This window comes from Homo sapiens, chromosome 11 (assembly GCF_000001405.40).
Source record: "Homo sapiens chromosome 11, GRCh38.p14 Primary Assembly".
Taxonomy (NCBI): Eukaryota; Metazoa; Chordata; class Mammalia; order Primates; family Hominidae; genus Homo; species Homo sapiens.
In genome coordinates, this window is record NC_000011.10 from 32,607,600 (window position 1) to 32,630,609 (window position 23,010).

The following is a 23,010-nucleotide window of genomic DNA, read 5'->3' on the forward strand; positions in this document are numbered from 1 at the left end:
ATGTTTGTTTTGATTCTATGACTTACCCAATTGGGCAAGGTTAAGACTTAGATTTTCCAATGCCAGAGTTACTGCCCTTTAGTCACCATATTTTAATGATACACACATACACCAAGTGGAAACTATACTGTTGCTTATGAGCTCAATTAGGAAAGAGTGAAAAGGGTGTATTAGTCCGTTCTCACGCCGCTAATAAAGATACTGGAGACTGGAAAAAAAAAGATAGGTTTAACGGACTTACAGTTTCACATGACTGGGGAGGCCTCATAATCATGGCAGAAGGCGAAAGGCAATTCTTACATGGTGGCAGCAAAAGAGAGCTTGTGCAGGGCAACTCCCACTTTTAAAGCCATCTGATCTCATGAGACTTATTCACTATCACAAGAATATTTCACTATCACAAGAACAGCATAGGAAAGACCGGCCCCCCCCACGATTCTATTACCTCCCACCAGGTTCCTCCCACAACACGTGGGAATTGTGAGACCAATTGTAATTCAAGATGAGATTTGGGTGGGGACACAGCCAAACCATATCATTCTGCCCCTGGCCCCTCCCAAATCTCATATCCTCACATTTCAAAACCAATCATGCCTTCCCAACACTCCCCCAAAGTCTTACTTCAGCATTAACTCAAAAGTCCAAAGTCTCATCTGAGACAAGGCAAGTCCCTTCCACCTATAAGCCAGTAAAATCAAAAGCAAGTCAGTTACTTCCTAGATACAAGGAGGGGTGGGGTACAGGCATTGGGTAAACACAGCTGTTCCAAATGGGAGAAATTGGCCAAAACAAAGGGTCTACAGGCCCTGTGAAAGTCCAAAATCCAGCATGGCTGCCAGGTCACGCTAATGCAAGAGGTGGGTTCTTATGGCCTTGGGCAGCTCCACACCCCTGTGGCTTTGCAGGGTACAGCCTCCCTCCTGGCCACTTTCACGGGCTGACATTGAGTGTCTGTGGCTTTTCCAGATACATAGTGCAAGCTGTTGGTGGATCTACCATTATGGGGTCTAGAGGATGGTGGCCCTCTTCTCATAGCTCCACTAGCCAGCACCCCAGTAGGGACTCTATATGGGGGCTCTGACCCCACATTTCTCTTCCACATTGCCCTAGCAGAGGTTCTCCATGAGAGTCCCGCCCCTGCAGCAAACTTCTGCCTGGACATCCAGGCATTTCCATACATCCTTTGAAATCTAGGAAGAGATTCCCAAACCTCAATTCTTGACTTCTGTGTACTCGCAGGTTCAACACCACATGGAAGCTGCCAAGGCTTGGGGCTTGTACCCTCTGAAGCAATGGCCCAAGCTGTGACTTGGCTCCTTTTAATCATGGCTGGAGTGGCTGGGATGCAGGGCACCAAATCCCTAAGCTGCACACAGCACGGGGACCCTGAGCCCCGCCCACAAAACCATTTTTTCCTCATAGGCTTCTGGGTTTGTGATGGGAAGGGCTGCCGTGAAGACCTCTGACTTGCCCTGGAGACATTTTCCCCATTGTCTTGGAGATTAACATTCAGCTCCTTGTTACTTATGCATATTTCACAGCCAGCTTGAATTTCTCCTCAGAAAATGGGATTTTCTTTTCTATCATATTGTTCAGGCTGCAAATTTTCCAAACTTTTATGCTGTTTCCCTTATAAAACTGAATGCCTTTAACAGCGCCCAAGTCACCTCTTGAATGCTTTGCTGCTTAGAAATTTCTTCTGCCAGATACCCTAAATCATCTCTCTCAAGTTCAAAGTTCCACAAATCTCTAGGACAGGGGCAAAATGCTACCAATTTCTTTACCAAAACATAACAAGTCACCTTTGCTCCATTTCTCAACAAATTCCTCATTTCCATCTGAGATTACCTCAGACTGGATTTCATCGTCCATATCATTGTCAACATTTTGGTCAAAGCCATTCAACAAGTCTCTAGGGAGTTCCAAATTTTCCCACATTTTCCTGTCTTCTGAGCCCTCCAAACTGTTCCAACCTTGGCCTGTTACCCAGTTCCAAAGTTGCTTCCACATTTTCGGGTATCTTTTCAGCAACACTCTGCTCCTGGTACCAATTTACTGTATTAGTTTATTTTCACACTGCTAATAAAGACATACCCAAGACTGGGAAGAAAAACAGGTTTAATGGATTTACAGTTCCATGTGGCTGGGGAGGCCTCATAATCATGGTGGAAGGCAAAGGCAATTTTTTTTATTTTTTTGAGATGGAGTCTCGCTCTGTCATCCAGGCTGGAGTGCAGTGGCGTGATCTCGGCTCACTGCAAGCTCCACCTCCTGGGTTCACGCCATTCTCCTGCCTCAGCCTTCCGAGTAGGTGGGACTACAGGTGCCTGTCACCAAGCCCAGCTAATTTTTTTTTTTTTTTTGTATTTTTAGTAGAGACAGGGTTTCACCATGTCAGCCAGGATGGTCTCGATCTCCTGACCTCATGATCCGCCCACCTCAGCCTCCCAAAGTGCTGGGATTACAGGCATGAGCCACTGCACCCGGCCGGCAAAAGGCAGTTCTTACATGGCGGCAGCAAGAGAGAAGAGAGCTTGTGCAGGGAAACTCCCATTTTTAAAACCATCAGATCTTGTGGGATTTATTCACTGTCATGAGAATAGCACAGGAAAGACCCGCCCCCATGATTCAATTACCTCCCACTGGGTCCCTCCCATGACACATGGGAACTGTGGGAGTGACAATTCAAAATGTGATTTGGGTGGGGACAAAGCCAAACCATATCAAGGATAGTTCCTGATTTTTGTCTCAACTCTCCCAGAAGAGTTATACTATCTCACTTGAGGTTTCTCCTATTTAGAAAGGAAAATAAAATACATTGTTAAAAGCTGTTATTTGTTAAGGATGTGTTAGTACTATAATATTCATTTTGTATATGCTAAAGAGAAAGTTGTTTAATAGTTTGAACACTACAACCTTTTTCTTGCTTAAAGTTCTATACACTATGATATAAAACTTACACATTTAACCAGATAACCTTCCTGCTATAGTTAGTTGCTTTCTATATGACAAATAGACTCCTGGAAGCCATATAATTTCTACAAATACTTTAATACATATATCCATACAGTATCACATGGATACTTGATCCTTTCACACGTGTTCTAATTGAAATAGTTTTAAATTCTTTCCATCTCAGTTTCCAAAAATAATGTGAATTTACTTAAGGATTATTAAAAACAATTGGACTTGATTAGCTTACTTTTAGACATAACCTTTTATTAACATAAAATTTTAAATGCTCAAATACCACTATTTCCAAATTTAGATGAGTAAGAAATAGAAGTACATATCCGATGCCTCACACTCTCCTTCCCCAAACAGGCTGGATTGTATCTATTTGATTTATACACTGTGACTTTTTCCTGCTGTTTTCTATCAACCTTAATTGTGAAAAATGGTGCCATGTTGCCCTCTTGATATTATTTTGGAGATCAGTTAGGTCTTAAAGCATCCAGATGCGTACAGTTCTACACATATCTGTAGAATTAGCTCACTAAGGTCTGCTCGGCAATATTTTTAATTGACTTACATGTTCTGTGGGAAAAGAGGAATCATAAAAAGTCTTTGCCATTGCATTCTTCTCTTCACTGGGTTCTCCCTTGGGATCTGGATGGATACTCCAGTTATTCAAAGTGTCAGCAACTCTGTTAATGCTGGTAGTATCTGATTGATAAAGAGGAAATGGCAACAACTGAATTTTTCTCTAGGTACTCATTTTAGTGACTGAACTTGTTTCTGATCCTATGCTTTTGTATTTAAAAAGCAACAAATTTCTATTTTAATGTTGAATATTTTGCAGTTGTCCTAGACTTTGCTCTTAAATTAGGCATTTCATTTCTGAAAACAAACAAGATTTTATTATTGCTACTTTCTAAAACCTGATTACTGTAATTCCACATTAAAAGCAGTGAAAGAAATGGTATAAATACCTTCTAAAACAAAATAACTCATAAAATGTTATCATTATTCCCCTGGTTACTGTATTTCCCACACATGTAAGCATTTGTATAGTGAATATTTTACCAACTCAGATTAATGGAAAAAGTCAGAACCAACTACATACCAGATTTATAAACTATTTAAAGAAATTGGCCACAGTGAGAAGTCCAACAAAGGGCTGTTTAGAAGGGGTCACATTGGGCTTTAATAAATTGATAGAAATGAGTTAGAGAAGTATGTAAATTATGAAGGTTAAAAGATACTGATGGCATATTTAAGAGTATTTTACAAGTTGAATTTCTACAGAATTTTAGATATCACCCTTTGTATCTTATATATCACTGAAATTTAATTACAAGAAAGGACTTCAAAAAAAATGGTAGATTTTTAGACCAGCACCTAAAGCAATACCTAATTAAAAGTTAATGGAATCTTAAGTAATATATTTTGTGACCTTGAAAAATTGCAGTTTGGGAAATGAGGTTATACAGTGTTTTGGTTATTTGATTTTCGCCTACATTATTTCCCATTGGTAGTAGTAAACAAGATATGTTTTTGTTTTTAATCACCAAATAGTCTCTTTAAATTTTTCTCAATTTCCTTTTTAAAAGAAGCCTGTTAAATCTGAGGGCCATATAAAAGCTATCCTTGGAATCTGCATCTTTTTAAGGTGTCTAAGTGCACAATGTTAAACCCACAAAGTTCCCTTAAAATATAAGAATGCCTTTAACAACCTTAGCAACTTTTGACTATGAGATTGCTATTAAAAGAAAACATGCTGTCCCAAAAATAAAAACAATTAAAAAACCATTTTCCTCATGATCATACTTCTTAAATACTGCTTTTTATTTTCAATTTATATTTATACAGCACCAATTCATGATAATCTAGTATGTTTTTATTTTTAAATACTGTGAAAAATTTTCAGGCCGGGTGTGGTGGCTCCCAGCAATTTGGGAAGCTGAGGCAGGAGGATCACTTGAGCCCAGAAGTTCAACACCAGCCTCGGCAACAAAGTGAGACCTGTCTCTACAAAAAATTTTAAAACTTAGCTGGGTGCAGTGACATGTCTGTACTCCCAGCTGCTCAGGAGGCTGAGGTGGGAGGATTCCTTCAGCCTGGGAGGTTAAAGTTGCAGTGAGCTATGATCACACCACTGCACTCCAGGCTGGGTGACAGAGCAAGACTCTATCTCAAAAAAATAATAAATAAATAAAGCAAAAAACAAAACAAAAACATAGACAGCCATGTACTTCGATACCCATCAATATTAAGTCATATGTATTTCATCCATTTACCTCTCCCCCCATTTTTTCTGGAGTATTTTAAAATAAAACTTGGACATTATGCCATTTCATATGGCAGTTTTTAAGACAGAACAATCTCTCTATTCTCTTTAACATCTGAATGCATGAATATATGTTAAGGGATTCAATTTAAAGTGTTTTCAACTGACAAATACTGGTCATAGGAAATATATTAATGTTATGCCTCATTATTACTTATAAAACAGAAGGAAGAGCCGGATTTCTGGTGTGGGTGAAGGGACAGATAAAAATAGAAAAATTAAGGAAAGGGAGAGAAAATTGGGCAAAGAAAGACAACATAGGAGAGAAACTAAAATGTTCTAAGGGAAGGAAGTTTTTAAGGATGAATGAAGAGCATATAGAAAGAAGAGCAATAAATATTCACACTTGGCAGAAGCCTTAACTACTTCACTGTATTTGCTCTAAAAGTTAAAAACAAAAGAATATTAAGTTGTTCCTAATTTAAAATAAGACGAACTTTTAAAACAAAATTTACAAAATATGACTGTACACATTTATCAAGAATAAGTAGAAAAATATTTTGAGAATTAAAACATTACTTTGTTTTCTTACCTGGTCCAATATCCTTTCCAACATCATCCACACCAATATTTTTACAAAGAGCCATTGAAATGATCTTTTTGTTTTCTGATGGATCTAGTGGTCTCTCCTTCAGCAACAAAGAAATGCAAGGGGTCGAACTGCTCGCTGTTTGACTTTCAATGTGATTTACTTTTGACCAAGGACCGGGGTCTGAAAAATTCATGTATACTGGAGTTTTCTCAGTTTTTTTATCTGAAGTTGAAAGATCAAAGGTTGACCTTCCGCTTCTGTTTACTAAATCTCCAGATGGCTCTATGTGAAATGAATGTGATTCCTCCAGCTGTCCTTCACTGAACATTTTTCCTGAAACAATGTCATTTAATGATTCTGTTTTCTCTGTATTATTTAACAATGTATGCTGTCTTTCATTAATGCTCACAAAAAGGAAGAGGTCATTTTTTGTGGCTTCAGTTACCTGATTCTCATCAATCTGATTCTTTTTATTGGAAAACTCTGTTTCTGTGCAAGTTTTCATGTGAACAGCAGTTTTCACATCTTTGGCTTGTGAAGCATGACTATTCTCATTGTTAAGATGAAGATGGGAAATGTTCACATTAGTGTTTTCTAAGTATCCCAAACAGTTATTAAATTGACTGTTTTGCATATCACTCATATTTTTACACATAGTTTTTCCCCCAGGGCTTGAGTTAGGTTTCACCAACATAGACATACTATGGACATTTTTATCTGAGTTCTTCAGAAGTAGTTTTGAATTAGCACTAAAAGCAGCATATGAAACATGGTGGTCGATTACTATATCACAGGGAACAGTTAGTTCAGATTTCTCTAAAGTATCATTACAGACTTGCAGAAAATCTGAAGTTTGTTTAGAAAGTAATATGCTGCACTCACTTTTTTTAGTTAACAGTTGTATTTGTTTTATTTTACATTGTTTATCATCTAACATAACATTACTTGAATTCCGTAAACTATATTTCTGACATGGAACAGGATTTTTTTTTATATCTAGAGACGAGTCCAAATCTGCTTTGGTTTGGTCACTATTTGTAATTTCCTTCTCTAGAGCATGTTCTCGAGTCCCTGGAAGCAATCTGAATTGTTTGAATGGCTCATTTTCAGAAACATCTTTATTATTATTGTGATATGTATTGTGTGCTGTCTCATTTAAAATACTGTTAAATGATGTTTTGTTATTTTCAACCTCCAGATTTACATCTGTATGGTGAACATCTAATCCTCTGGTTCTTTCTAGATGTATTTTTTCTGTTTCTATTGCTGTATCTAACACTACAAAATGATTATTTGGTGATTTAAATTCTGTACATCCATTGTCTTTTTCCAAGCATATCTTGTCTTTTATTTCTGTAGTAACTGATTTTCTGTTGTCCGTAACATTCGAGGTTTGTCCTTGACTAATTACTTCTTTATCTAAGGAGAGGGTTTTGCTTAAGGAGATTTCACTTTGATTTTCATCCTGAGAAACAACAGTATCAATTTCATTCTTGAAGCTTTTTTCAAAAAGCTGTAAATCTGTCATGATGGGAACACAGTAAAATTTTATATTATACACTAAAGGCTGATTTCATAAGACATATTTATCACCTATTTTTATAAAAACATATTTAACCTTAAATATTTTATGGGTCAATAATTATACAAACTTAATGACATCAATATTACCTAAATACTGGGTTCCCTTTATTGTATCAAATATATCTTTAGCATGCTAAATATTTGGCTTTACCCATATTAAACTTTAATTTCATAATAGCAAAGTATTTTTGGTTTTGTAAACGGAAAGTAAGTTGAGGTATTAAAAAATGGTTTATTTTTCTAGTCTATTTGCTTCATTTAGGACACTTAGTACAATTCCACATAAATACATAGCTGATAAAAATTAATTTATCCTAACAGATTATGCTGTAATTTCTATTACTACCTAGGTCCAGCAGTATCTAGAAATTGCTAGCTGGCTTCTTCAGGACTGACAATCATCACTTTTATTCATTACCCAGTGAATATTTTTAAATTCTTGAATAGTTTTGGACAAGTATATAGAATATCTACTTAATCAAGACATTAATTTTATTCATCTATATTCTAACAAAGATTTCAACTTTTTAGTATAGTTAACCTAGAATATAAATTTCAGGTTTTTGAAGGACTTTTTAGAAGTCCAGTCATTCTCTCTACAACATCTCCACCAAGTGGTTGTTCAGCCTGAGTTTGAACACCTCCAATCAGTATCAGCTTTAAACAACACTTTTTCAAGATGGAAGAATTAATAAATTATTCCAATGGTTACAGAAAGGTTATCTGAATTAAGAAAAATGCCCTAGGTCTGGTCATCAGAAGGTTACTGGTGACTCCAAGAACATTCTCAGCAAAACAGTGAAGGCAGAAACCAGAATCCAAAAAGACTAGGAATAAGTCATGAAGAGGGGAGGCAGAATGTAATTTTCCCAAAAATATTTACTGTAAATATCAACATACAAATTAGAAAATATCAATATAATTTTAAGGTTACCATCTATAATTATTTCCTCTATAAATGAGCCTTCTTTTTTTTCTTCTTTTTCTCTGTATTCAGTATCTGAACAAAAATTCTCCATATTTTCTTCCCTTATTTCTTGCTCAGTATTATATTTCTGTATAATGGTGTTTTCTGATTTTTCAGTTGACATTTCACTGTTTTCATTATTTACTTCTGGAACATTCTAGTGTAAAATGGAAGAGATTCTTTTAAAAACATTGCCTACAAGTATAAAACATTTGAGCAAATGTGATAAATGTGGAATCTGTGTTTCAGTTCAACCATTCAGCAATTTCTATTTGAAAGTCAAATGATTTTTTAGTAAGTTTAATATACCATACTCTTTATAACGATATCACTTTACATTCATTTTATATAGTCTATCATATTTAAGCAAAATGGAGATCTTTATACATTTTCAAACATGCATACCACATTATTATATAATACCACATTATATGTAATAGAAGAACCACCCCATTACTAAAAACAAGATAGACATGGCAGGCAAATTGTTTTGAGCAGTAGTTTATTTTTTTAAGAGATGAGTTCTTGCTATGTTGCCCAGGCTGGAGTGCAGTGGCTATTCACAGGTGCGATCATAGTGCACGACAAGCCTCAAAATTCTGGGCCCACACTATCCTCCTGCCTCAGCCTCCTAAGTAACTGGGACTACAGGTGCTCACCACCATGCCAGGTGAAGCAGTATTTTTATGTATCCTTAAAACAGTGAATCAGTCCAACATGCTTTTTCTTCCCCTATATATTGAGCACATGTTACATGTGAAGCACTGTACTAGGCTTTGGGATACAATGATGAACAAAATACAGTCCCTGTCCTCAAAAAACTTACAGTCTGGTATGAAGATAAGAAAATAAGTAACAGGCAACTTTAATAGGATGTGGTAAGTGCTCTGATATGGATAAATGCAGGTTACTATGGGCACATGCAGGAATAGTCCTGTCCCTGCTTTTGGGAGTCAAGGAAGGTTTCTTGGAGAAGGTGTTAGCTAAACATACGTGAAGTATGATATGGAGTCATAGATGGGGATAAGGAGGCACTCCAGAAAGAATAAATGGCATATAGCGATACTTAAGAGCAAGCAAGATTAAGAGTATATTTATGGAACTATGAGTGATTTCGTTTGGCTAGAGCTTACATGTAGGGAGAAGAATGAAGATAAATGAGGCTTGAGGTAAGCTGGGCCGAGGTCATTAAGGGCCTAACATTGGCATGTTAAGGAGTTTCAACTCTACCAGGAAGACACTGAGAAGTCACTGAAGGGTTTTAAACAAGGAATGAATAATGTGATCTGACTGGAAAGACCATTTTGGCTACAGTACAAAAAAAATGGACTAACATTTTTGAAACTTCATTGATGGAAACCAGCAATGAGAAATATGTTTTATAACTCAATAGGCACATCAAACAGTACCTACTATTATACACTCTAATGTTTTCTATGCTATTTCATTTCATTTTAAAAAGAATTCTGGTCACAACCCACCAAACTAATTTCCATGAACCACTGATAAGTTGCACCTAGAAGTCTGAAAAACACTAAATTAAAGGGAGAGAACACACGGGGCAGAGTGATACATCAGGAGAGTGCTGCAGCAGTCCAGGTGATATCAGTAAAGATGAAGAGCTGTGAACCCATTGGTGATGTATGGAACTAAAGTTAATTGGACTTGGTCAATGATTGGATGTGAAGGCTGAGGGAGAAGGTGAGTCAAGATTGACTTCCGTAGTTCAGATTAGGTAAGTAGATGACTGGTGGATGTCATTCCTTGAGCGAGAAAACAGGAGTAGTAGTAGATTTGGACGAAAATATCATGAGTTCAGTTTGAACTTACTGAGTATGAAGAGTTAGTAATACATTAAAGTGGCAATATCTAATGAACCTGTATTTATTTATTACTTTTGTCTTTTAAATAATTCCAACTTTTATTTTAGATTAAGGGTATACATGTGCAGGTTGGTTACATGGCTATATTGCATGATGCTGAGCTTTGGGGTATGACTGATCCCATCACTCAGGTAGTGGGCATAGTAATCAATAGTTTTTCAACTGTTGTCTTCTTCCCTCCCTACCTCTTCTAGTAGTCCCCAGGATCTATTGTTGCTATCTTTATGTTCATGAGTACCCAATGTTTAGTTCCAACTTATAAGAAAATTGGTCTTTGGTTTTCTGTTCCTATGTTAATTTGCTTAGGATAATGGCCTCCAGCTTCATCCATGTTGCTGCAAAGGACATGACTGTATTCTTTTTTATGGCTGTGTAGTATTCCATGGTGTATATGTACCACATTTTCTTTATCCAATCCACTGTTGATGGGCACCTAAGTTGATTCCATGGTCTTTGCTATTGTGAACAGTGCTGCAATGAACATAAAAGTACATGTGTCTTTTTGGTAGAGCGATTTATTTTCTTTTGGCTATATACCTGGTAATAGTTTTGCTGGGTCAAATTGTAGTTCTGTTTGAAGTTCTTTGAGCAATCTTTCCACAGTGGCTGAACTAATTTACATTCCCACCAACAGCATATAAGTTTTCCCTTTTCTCTGCAGCCTCGTTGGCATCTGTTGTTTTTGACCTTATTTTTTATTTATTATTATTTTTTTGAGACAAAGTCTCACTTTATCGCCCAGGCTGGAGTGCAGTGATGCAATCTCAGCTCACTGCAACCTCCGCCTCCTGGGTTCAAGCAATTCTCCTGCCTCAGCCTCCCAAGCAGTTGGGAGTACAGGAATGTGCTGCTGTGCCCAGATAATTTTTTACTTTTAGTAGAGATGGGGTTTTGCTATGTTGGCCAGCCTGGTCTTGAACTCCTGACCTCAGGTGATCTACTCGTCTTGGCCTCCCAATGTGCTGGGATTACAGGCATGAGCCACCGTGCCCAGCCTCTTCTTTTTTTAATAGTCATTCCGACTGGTGTGAGATGTTATCTCTTTGTGGTGTTGATTTGCATTTCTCTGATGATTAGTGATGTTGAACATTTTTTCATGTTTGTTGGCTGCTCATATGTCTTCTTTTGAGAGGTGTCTGTTCATGTCTTTTGTCCACTTTTTAAATAGGTTATTTGTTTATTGCTTGTTCATTTGTTTAAGATCCTTATAGATTCTGGATATTAGACCTTTGTCAGATACATTGTTTGCATGGGTTGTCTATTTACTCTGTTGATAGTTTTGTTTTTTTACTGTGCAGAAGCTCTTTAGTTTAATTGTGCTCGACTTGTCAATTTTTGTTTTTGTTGCAGTTGCTTTTGAGAACTTAGTCATAAATTCTTTCCCAAGGCCAATATCCAGAATGGTGTTTGCTGAGTTTTCTTTTAGTATTCTAATGCACATTTAGATGTATGGGAAAATTGGCCTAATAAATGCTATAAATGTAGATTTGAAAATCATCGGCAGATAGATGACAACCAAAAATATACAAGTTGGACTGGGTGAAATGGCTCATGCCTGTAATCCCAGTGTTTTGGGAGGCTGAGATGAGAGGACTACTTGAGGCCAGGAGTTTGAGACCAGCTTAGGCCACATAACAAGACCCCATCTCTATGAAATATTTTTAAAAATTAGCTGGGTGCGGTGGCACACACCTGTAGTCCTAACTACTTGGGAAGCGGGGGCAGGAGGAGTGGTTAAGCTCAGGAGTTTGAGGCTGCAGTGAGCTATGATTGTGCCACTGCACTCCAGCCTGGGTGACAGAGGGAGACCCTGTTGAAGAAAGAAGGAGAAGGAATAAGAAAGGAGGAGAATGAGGAAGAGGAGGAGAAGGAGGAGATGAAGAAGGAGCAGAAGGAGGAGGAGGAGATGAAGAAGGAGCAGAAGAAGCAGAAGAAGCAGGAGGAAAAGGAGGAGGTGAAGAAGGAGAAGGAGAAGAAGAATGAGGAAGAGGAGGAAAAGTAGAAGGGAAGGAGAAGGAGGAGGGGGAGGGGAAGGGAGGGAGGGGAAGGGGAGGAGAAGAAATACACTGCTTACAGAGAGTGTATTTTGAGAGGAAAAGAAAATAAAGGATAAAATGCCGATGAAAATCTCCAAGGGAGAGGCAAAGAGAGAGAAAATTGTAAAACAGATTGAGAGAAACAGTAAAAGTCAGTGATTTACAACAGCAAACATCCCACAGTTTCAATGGGTCAGGAATTCAGGAGTGGTTGGCTTGATGGTTCTGACTCAGCATCTCTTTTGAGGTTCCAATCAAGCTATCATCTACAGCTCCATCATGTGAAGCCTTAATTGTTGCTGGAAGAGTCTCACTCATATTGCTGGCAGTTGGTGGCAGCTGTTGGCTGGGGTGCCTAAATTCTCTTCCAGGTGGTCTTTATTATCCAGGACCTCTCTTCACAGGATAGCTTAGACTTCTTTTCATTATGGTTGAGAGGGTGGGAGAAGGATAAACACACATGCACCCAAGACAGAAACCACAGTTTTCTTATAATGTAATCTCAGAAGTGACATTGTATCACCTGGCTAACAAGGTGAAACCCCGTTTCTACTAAAAATACAAAAAAAATTAGCCAGGCGTGGTGGCGGATGCCTGTAGTCCCACCTACTTGGGAGGCTGAGGCAGGAGAATGACAGGAACCTGGGAGGCGGAGCTTGCAGTGAGCCAAGATCACGCCACTGCACTCCAGCCTGGGCCACAGAGCGAGACTCAGTCTCAAAAAAAAAAAAAAAAAAAAAAAGAAGTGACATTGTATCACTTCTGTTATATTTCATTCATTAAAACCAAGTCATTAATCCAGCTCACACTCAAGTGGAGGGGATTATAAAAGAGCAATGAGTAACAGGAGGTGGGAATCACTTTAGGCCATTTTAGAGGCTGCCTACAACAATATTTAAACTTTGTGAGGCTGTTTTGTCATCTATAACAAAAATGCCATAAAGACAAAATCAATGTGCAAAAAACACCAGCATTCCTATATGCCAACAATAGACAAGCAGAGAGCCAAAACATGAATGAACTCCCATTCACAATTGCTACAAAGATAATAAAATACCTAGGAATACAGCTAACAAGAGACGTGAAGGAACTCTTCAAGAACTACAAACCACTGCTCAAGGAAATAAGAGAGGACACAAACAAATCAGAAAACATCCCATTCTCATGGATAGGAAGAATCAATATAGTGAAAATGGCCATACTGCCCAAAGTAATTTATAGATTCAATGCTATTCCCATCAAACTACCACTGACTTTCTTCACAGAATTTGAAAAAACTACTTTAAAATGCATATGGAACCAAAAAAGAGCCAGTATAGCCAAGACAATCCTAAGCAAAAAGAACAAAGCTGGAGGCATCATGCTACCTGACTTCAAACTATACTACAAAGCAACAGTAACCAAAACAACTTGGTATTGGTACCAAAACAGACATACAGACCAATGAAACAGAATAGAGAGCTCAGAAATAAGACCACACGTCTACAACCACCTGATCTTCGACAAACCTGACAAAAACAAGCAATGGGGCAAAGATTCCCTATTTAATAAATGGTGCTGGGAAAACTGGCTGGCCATATGCAGAAAACTGAAACTGGACCCCTTCCTTACACCTTATACAAAAATTAATTCAAGATAGATTAAATACTTAAGTGCAAAACCCAAAACCATAAAAACCCTAGAAGAAAACCTACCCAATACCATTCAGGACATAGGCATGGGCAAAGATTTTATGATGAAATCACCAAAAGCAACTGCAACAAAAGCCATGGGATCTAATTAAACTAAAGAGCTTCTGCACAGCAAAAGAAACTATCATCAGAGTGAACAGGCAACCTACGGAATGGGAGAAAATTTTTGCAATCTATCTACCTGACAAATGGCTAATATCCAGAATTTGCAGGGAACTTAAACAAATTTACAAGAAAAAAACAACTCTATCAAAAAGTGGGCAAAGGATATGAACAGACACTTCTCAAAAGAAGACATTTACAGGGCCAATGAACATATGAAAAAGAGTTCAACATCACTGATCATTAGAGAAATGCAAATCAAAACCACAATGAGAATACCATCTCACGCCAAGTCAGAATGGTGATTATTAAGAAGTCAAGAAACAACAGATGATGGTGAGGCTGTGGAGAAATAGGAATGCTTTTACATTGTTGGTGGGAATGTAAATTAGTTCAACCATTGTGGAAGACAGTGTGGTGATTCCTCAAGGATCTAGAACCAGAAATACCATTTGACTCAGCAATTCCATTACTGGGTATATACACAAAGGAATATGTTATTCTGTTATAAAGATACATGCACACATACGTTTATTGCAGCACTATTCGCAATAGCAAAGACACGGAACCAGTCCAAATGTCCATCAATGATAGACCGGATAAAGAAAATGTGGTGGATATACACCATGTAATACAATGCAGCCATAAAAAGGAATGAGATCATGTCCTTTATAAGGACATAGATGAAACTAGAAGCCATCATCCTCAGCAAACTAACACAGGAACAGAAAACCAAATACCGCATGTTCTTATTCATAAGTGCGAGTTGAACAATGAGAACACATGGACACAGGAAGGGGAACAACACACACTGGGGCCTGTCCGGGTGGGGGGCAGCAAGGGGAGGGAGAGCATCAGGACAAATAGCTAATGCATGCGGGGCTTAAAACCTAGGTGTTGATAGGTGCAGCAAACCACCATGGCACACGTATAACTATGTAACAAACCTGCACATTCTCCACATGTATCATGGAACTTAAATAAAATTGAAAAAAAAAAAAAAGAAAGAATGAACCTCTAGGACACAGCTCACTTGGGCGGGGTGGGGGGGAATGGTGTAAAGATTAAATTATATATATAATACACACAGTGCATAGGTGCTCAATTAATGGTATAACTATTATAATAGTTATTATTCTTACCACCATAAAAAAAGTGGCCTGAGAGGTAAAGAAAAAAAATCAGATGAACGAAATATAATAGAAGAAAAGGAAAAGATAACTCAAGCAAGAAATAGTATCAAATGCTTCAAAGGGACTGAAAAGTGTAATATCCAAAGGGAATGGATGTAATGTCCATTTTATTTTATTTTATTTTATTTTTTAATTTATTTTTATTTTTTGAGATGGAGTTTCGCTCTTTCACCCAGGCTGGAGTGCAGTGGTGTGATCTCAGCTCATTGTAACCTCTGCCTTCCGGTTTCAAGTGATTCTCCTGCCTCAGCCTCCTGAGTAGCTGGGATTACAGGCATGCCCCCACATGTGGCTGATTTTTGTATTTTTAGTAGAGACAGGGTTTCACCATGTTGGCCAGGCTGCTCTTGAACTCCTGACCTTGTGATCCACCTGCCTCGAGCTTTCAAAGTGCTGAGATTACAGGCGTGAGCCACTATGCCTGGCCATAATATCCATTTTATGGAGCAGAGGGGCAAAGCCAGACTGCCCTATGTTTTTGTTTGTTTATTTGTTTTGTGACAGGGTCTCCCTCAGTCCTCCAGACTGGAGTGCATTGGTGTGATCATGGCTCATGGTAGTCTCAGCTTCCCAGGTTCAAGTGCTCCTCTTACCTCCCTAGTAGCTGGGACCACCAGTGTGCACCGCCATGCCCCGCTAATTTTTAAAAAAATTTTGTAGAGACAAGGGTCTCACTATGTTCTCCAGACAGGTCTTGAACTCCTGCACTCAAGCAATTCACCTGCCTTGGCCCCCAAAAGTGCTGGAATTACATGCATGAGCCACCATGCCCAGCCCAGATTGCCCTATGTTGAAGGATGAATGGGAAGTAAGAAAGCAAAAAGTATGAGTTTAAACCAATCTTTCAAGAAACTTGGCTCTACAAAGAAGACTTTACTTAGGGTATTTGGAAATGGGTGTGAGATCAAAAAGTTTTTTTGTTATTTGTTTACTTTTTAAAATGGGAGGGGCTTAAGCATGTTTAATTGCAAATGGGAATATATAAACTAAAACAAAAGGAATATAACTGATAAACATATAAAATATGTTTAATAAAACAAAAATGCAAAGTACAGCTGACAAAGTATTAAGAAGGCTAGAGAAGACAGGTACTCATACATGGCTGGTAGGACTATAAACTGGTACAACATTTCCGGAAAGCAATCTGACAATATGTGTCAAAAATTATAAGTGAGAGGGCCGGGCGCAGTGGCTCAAGTCTGTAATCCCAGCATTTTGGGAGGCTGTGGGCAGATCACAAGGTCAGGAGATCGAGACCATCCTGTCTAATAAGGTGAAACCCCATATCTACTAAAATACAAAAAAAAAAAAAATTAACCAGGTGTGGTGGCACATGCCTGTAGTCCCAGCTACCCGGGAGGCTGAGGCAGGAGAATTGCTTGAACCCAGGAGGCGGAGGTTGCAGTAAGCCGAGATGATGCTGTTACACTCCAGCCTGAGAGCAAGACTCCATCTCCAAATAAAAAATAAAAAAATAAATAAATAAATAAATTATAAGTGAGAAAGCTCTTTGACCCAGCAATACCATTTCTTGAAGTTTATCCTAAAGAAATAGTCACAAACATACACAAAGATATTTGTACAAGGATGCCCAATAGGGAAGTGGACAGATTAATTATGGCACGTCCTAGTCACACAATGGAAATTGTGATGTAGATCTATTTTTACGGACTTAGAAAGATATCCACTATTTAGTAAAATTTTTTAGCAGTTCCTCAAAAAGTTAAATATAGAATTACCATTCCTCAAGGATCTAGAACTAGAAATACCATTTGACCCAGCAATTCCATTACTAGGTATATACCCAAAGGATTATAAATCATGCTACTATAAAGATACGTGCACACGTATGTTTGTTGTGGCACTATTCACAATAGCAAAGACTTGGAACAAACCCAGATGTCCATCAATGACAGATGACAGACTGGATTAAGAAAATGTGGCACATATATACCATGGAATACTATGCAGCCATTAAAAAGGAGGAGTTCTTGTCCTTTGTAGGGACATGGATGAAGGTGGAAACCATCATTCTGAGCAAACTGTCACAAGGACAGAAAACCAAACACCGCACGTTCTCACTCATAGGTGGGAATTAAACAATGAGAACAGTTGGATACAGGTGTTGTTGAATTGATCCCTTTACCATTATGTAATGGCCTTCTTTGTCTGTTTTGATCTTTGTTGGTTTAAAGTCTGTTTTATCAGAGACTAGGATTGCAACCCCTGCCTTTTTTTGTTTTCCATTGGCTTGGTAGATCTTCCTCCATCCCTTTATTTTGAGCCTATGTGTGTCTCTGCACGTCAGATGGGTTTCCTGAATACAGCACATTAATGGATCTTGACTCTTTATCCAATTTGCCAGTCTGTGTCTTTTAATTGGAGTATTTAGGCCATTTACATTTAAGGTTAATATTGTCATGTGTGAAGTTGATCCTGTCATTATGATGTTAGCTGGTTATTTTGCTCGTTAGTTGATGCCGTTTCTTCCTAGCCTCGATGGTCTTTACAATTTGGCATGTTTTTGCAATGGCTGGTACTGGTTGTTCCTTTCCATGTTTAGTGCTTCCTTCAGGAGCTCTTATAGGGCAGGCCTGGTGGTGACAAAATCTCTTAGCATTTGCTTGTCTGTAAAGGATTTTATTTCTCCTTCACTTATGAAGCTTAGTTTGGCTGGATATGAAATTCTGGGTTGAAAATTCTTTTCTTTAAGAATGTTGAATATTGGCCCCCACTCTCTTCTGGCTTGTAGAGTGATCAAGTGGGCTTCATCCCTGGGATGCAAGGCTGGTTCAACATATGCAAATCAATAAACATAATCCAGCATATAAACAGAACCAACGACAAAAAACACATGATTATTTCAGTAGACGCAGAAAAGGCCTTTGACAAAATTCAACAGCCCTTCATGCTAAAAACTCTCAATAAATTAGGTATTGATGGGACGTATCTCAAACTAATAAGAGCTATCTATGACAAACCCACAGCCAATATCATACTGAATGGGCAAAAACTGGAAGCATTCCCTTTGAAAACTGGCACAAGACAGGGATGCCCTCTCTCACCGTTCCTATTCAACATAGTGTTGGAAGTTCTGGCCAGGGCAGTCAGGCAGGAGAAGGAAATAAAGGGTATTCAATTAGGAAAAGAGGAAGTCAAATTGTCCCTGTTTGCAGATGACATGATTGTATGTCTAGAAAACCCCATCGTCTCAGCCCAAAATCTCCTTAAGCTGATAGGCAACTTCAGCAAAGTCTCAGGATACAAAATCAATGTGCAAAACCCACAAGCATTCTTATACACCAATAACAGACAGAGAGCCAAATCATAAGTGAACTCCCATTCACAATTGCTTCAAAGAGAATAAAATACCTAGGAATCCAACTTACAAGGGACGTGAAGGACCTCTTCAAGGAGAACTACAAACCACTGCTCAAGGAAATAAAAGAGGATACAAACAAATGGAAGAACATTCCATGCTCATGGGTAGGAATAATCAATATCGTGAAAATGGCCATACTGCCCAAGGTAATTTATAGATTCAATGCCATCCCCATCAAGCTACCAATGACTTTCTTCACAGAATTGGAAAAAACTACTTTAAAGTTCATATGGAACCAAAAAAGAGCCCACATTGCCAAGTCAATCCTAAGCCAAAAGAACACAGGTGGAGGCATCACGCTACCTGACTTCAAACTATACTACATGGCTACAGTAACCAAAACAGCATGGTACTGGTACCAAAACAGAGATATAGACCAATGGAACAGAACAGAGCCTTCAGAAATAATGCCACATATCTACAACTATCTGATCTTTGACAAACCTGACAAAAAGAAATGGGGAAAGGATTCCCTATTTAATAAATGGTGCTGGGAAAACTGGCTAGCCACATGTAGAAAGCTGAAACTGGATCCCTTCCTTACACCTTATACAAAAATTAATTCAAGCTGGATTAAAGACTTACATGTTAGACCTAAAACCATAAAAACTCTAGAAGAAAGCCTAGGCAATACCATTCAGGACATAGGCATGGGCAAGGACTTCATGTCTAAAACACCAAAAGCAATGGCAACAAAAGTCAAAATTGATAAATGGGATCTAATTAAAGAGCTTCTGCACAGCAAAAGAAACTACCATCAGAGTGAACAGGCAACCTACAGAATGGAAGAAAATTTTTGCATTCTACTCATCTGACAAAGGGCTAATATCCAGAATCTACAAAGAATACAAACAAATTTACAAGAAAAAAACAAACAACCCCATCAACAAGTGGGCGAAGGATATGAACAGACACTTCTCAAAAGAAGATATTTATTCAACCAAAAGACACATGAAAAAATTCTCATCATCACTGGCCATCAGAGAAATGCAAATCAAAACCACAATGAGATACCATCTCACACCAGTTAGAATGGCGATCATTGAAAAGTCAGGAAGCAACAGGTGCTGGAGAGGATGTGGAGAAATAGGAACACTTTTACGCTGTTGGTGGGACTGTAAACTAGTTCAACCACTGTGGAAGTCAGTGTGGCGATTCTTCAGGGATCTAGAAGTAGAAATACCATTTGACCCAGCCATCCCATTACTGGGTATATACCCAAAGGATTATAAAGCATGCTGTTATAAAGACACATGCACACGTATGTTTATTGCGACACTATTTACAATAGCAAAGACTTGGAACCAACCCAAATGTCCATCAATGAGAGACTGGATTAAGAAAATGTGGCACATATACACCATGGAATACTATGCAGCCATAAAAAAGGATGAGTTCATGTCCTTTGTAGGAACACGGATGAAGCTGGAAACCATCATTCTCAGCAAACTATCGCAAGGACAAAAAACCAAACACCGCATGTTCTCACTCATAGGTGGGAATTGAACAATGAGAACACATGGACACAGGAAGGGAATCATCACACACCGGGGCCTGTTGTGGGGTGAGGGGAGCGGGGAGGGATAGCATTAGGAGATATACCTAATGTTAAATGACGAGTTAATGGGTGCAGCACACCAACATGGCACATGTATACATATGTAACAAATCTGCAGGTTGTGCACATATACCCTAAAAATTAAAGTATAATAAAAAAATAAAAATATCTGCTTTAAGGACTAATTACAGAGCTCTTTAAAAATAGTATACTTCCCTAGAACGTATATTGTATGATCTTTAAAATTTAGACTTCCAGCCATACCAGAGAACTTGACTTGCCTTCCCACTGTAAATTACTAGTAAACTAGATACAGTGTATGAAACAACAGTTTTTAGACAATGAACTACAAACAGGGAAAATTGCGTTCTCTGAGAGAAAGAGGAAAAAGTGAGATGAACCCTATGATTACTCAGGCTTACTGCCTAGACACTTGCTACACCATAGCACAAGGAAGGGGCACTCTTGCAAAAAAGATGGTCTGAGTTGGGAAGACAAACATCGGAATTTAGAGAGGCTAAACTGGCTGTAATTTGTGAGGCAATGTACTGAAGATGAAGGCGCTACCCAGAAAAAGAGCTCCAGGCATCTGCTATTTAATCTGTTGCTGGATATTAAGTTGGACATGTGAGTAGTAAAAGTCCATGAAGACTTGCAGGGGCGCCACAAGCTGAGCAATTTCCAGAGCTCCCACAGGTCTAGGTAAACTCTGAGTTCCAACAAGCCAGAGAGGAATGAACTTACTGAATAACTGGGACATTTTGTAGAGACCCCAGCAGGATCATGCCATTCTAGGGCTATTCTAGATGCTTCCATAAGTTTAAAAATAAACCTCAAAATGATGAAGCTTATCAGCAAGTAACTTAACCTCCTGTGAAACTTTGACATTCTTGAAATAAAGATAGCAAAATCTAGCAATCAGCAATGTAAAATTCAAAATGTTCTAACACAATAAAAATTTACTGGACAGGGAGAGAAGCAGGAAAATGTTACCTGTTATGTCACTATTTATAATGTAATCAAAACAAATACAGAAATGACAGAGGTAATAGAATTAGCAAAGGAACTTTAAAACAGCTATTACAAATGTTCAAGGATTTAAAGGACAATGATACGAACATAATGAAGAGAAAAATTTTAAATCCCAAAAGAAAAAAACGAACCAAATGGAAATTTTAGAGATGAAATTTACAGTAAATAAAATTAAAAACTCACTGAATAGGCTTAATAGCAGATTAGACATTTAAAAAAGAAATACAAATGAACTTCAGGACATAACAACAGAAACAATCCCAACTGAAGCAGAGAGGGAAAAAAAGACTGAAAAAATATGCAGTAGATCCTCAGTAACCTGTGGGACAATATTAAGCAGTCTAACGTGTGTAACTGAAGTCCCAGAAAGTAGAGGGGGACAGAAAAAAAAATTGAAGAAATGACCAAAACTTCTCCAAATTTAATGAAAACTATATATAGCCAAGAAATTCAATAAATTCCAAGCAAGATATGCACCAAGAAAACCATACCAAGGTACATCATAATCAAACTGCTTGAAAACAGACATGAAGGAAAAATCTTAAAAGCTGTCAGAGATATAAAGACACTTTTTTTTTTTTTTGAGGCGGAGTTTGCCCAGGCTGGAGTGGCGCGATCTCGGCTCACCACAAACTCCACCTCCCGGGTTCAAGCGTTCTCCTGCCTCAGCCTATTGAGTAGCTGGGATTACAGGCATGCGCCACCACGCCCGGCGAATTTTTGTATTTTTAGTAGAGACGGGGTTTCACCGTGTTAGCCAGGATGGTCTCGATCTCCTGACCTCATGATCTGCCCGCCTTGGCCTCCCAAAGTGCTGGTACAGGCGTAAGCCTCCGTGCCCAGCCGATATAAAGACACTTATAAAGATGGGTTATAAATATAAGAATTGTCATAGACCTCTTGCCAGAAGCAATGCAAGCCAAAAAAAAAAAAAAATGGAATGGCATCTTAAAATTAATGAAAGAAAAATTATCTAGAATTTTATATCCAGTGAAAATATTCTTTAAAATTAAGGAGAAATAAACCACCTTTTCAGACAAACAAAAGCTGGAAAGAATTCCAGCAGATATGCAAAAAAAAAAAAACAAAAAAAAAACGTTAAAAGGAAGTTCTTCAGGTTGAAGAAATATACCAGGTGGACATGTGGATCTAAACAAAGGAATAAAGAGTGACAGAAGTGGTAAATGTGGTGGTGAATAGAAAAGATACTTTATCTCATTTTTAATTTTCTTTGTCAGATAATTCTCTGAAATAAATAATATATGGTAGGTTTTATAACATATAGAAGTAAAATGTATGATAACAACAACACAAAGGACAGGAAGGAGAAAATGATAATGTAGTATTGCAAGTTTCTTATAAACTTTGGTATAATATTATTGGAAAGTATACACGATAAATTAAACTCTAGAATAAGGATTGGCAAACTACAGTCAAATGGCCAAATGCAGCCTGCTGCCTGTTTTTTTGTTTGTTTGTTTTGTTTTGTTTTGTTTTGCGGGGAAGGGAGAGGGAGATGGAGTCTCGCTCTGTTGCCCAGGCTGGAGTGCAGTGGTGGATCTCAGCTCACTGCAACCTCCACCTCCTGGGTTCAAGTGATTCTCCTGCCTCAGCCTCCCAAGTAGCTGAGATCACAGGCGCACGTCACCACATCTGCCTAAGTTTTGCATTTTGGTAGAGATGGGGTTTCACCATGTTGGTCAGGCTGGTCTCGAACTCCTCACCTCAAGTGATCCACTTGGCTCAACCTCCCAAAGTGC

At 38.2% G+C, this 23,010-nt stretch overlaps 1 protein-coding gene across 4 annotated transcripts in view; it reads right to left on the bottom strand.

Moving 5' to 3' along the window:
- The window catches only part of CCDC73 (coiled-coil domain containing 73), a 227,865-nt gene that overhangs the window by 4,879 nt on the left and 199,976 nt on the right, over positions 1-23,010 (bottom strand). For all 4 annotated transcript variants that reach the window (XM_047427029.1, NM_001008391.4, XM_047427030.1 and 1 more), the window contains 3 exons: positions 8,341-8,530; positions 5,823-7,343; positions 3,533-3,666 (listed from right to left, as the gene is read on the bottom strand). In XM_047427029.1, coding sequence (XP_047282985.1) covers positions 3,533-3,666; positions 5,823-7,343; positions 8,341-8,530 — 1,845 coding nt within the window. The remainder of the gene's footprint in view (positions 1-3,532; positions 3,667-5,822; positions 7,344-8,340; positions 8,531-23,010) is intronic.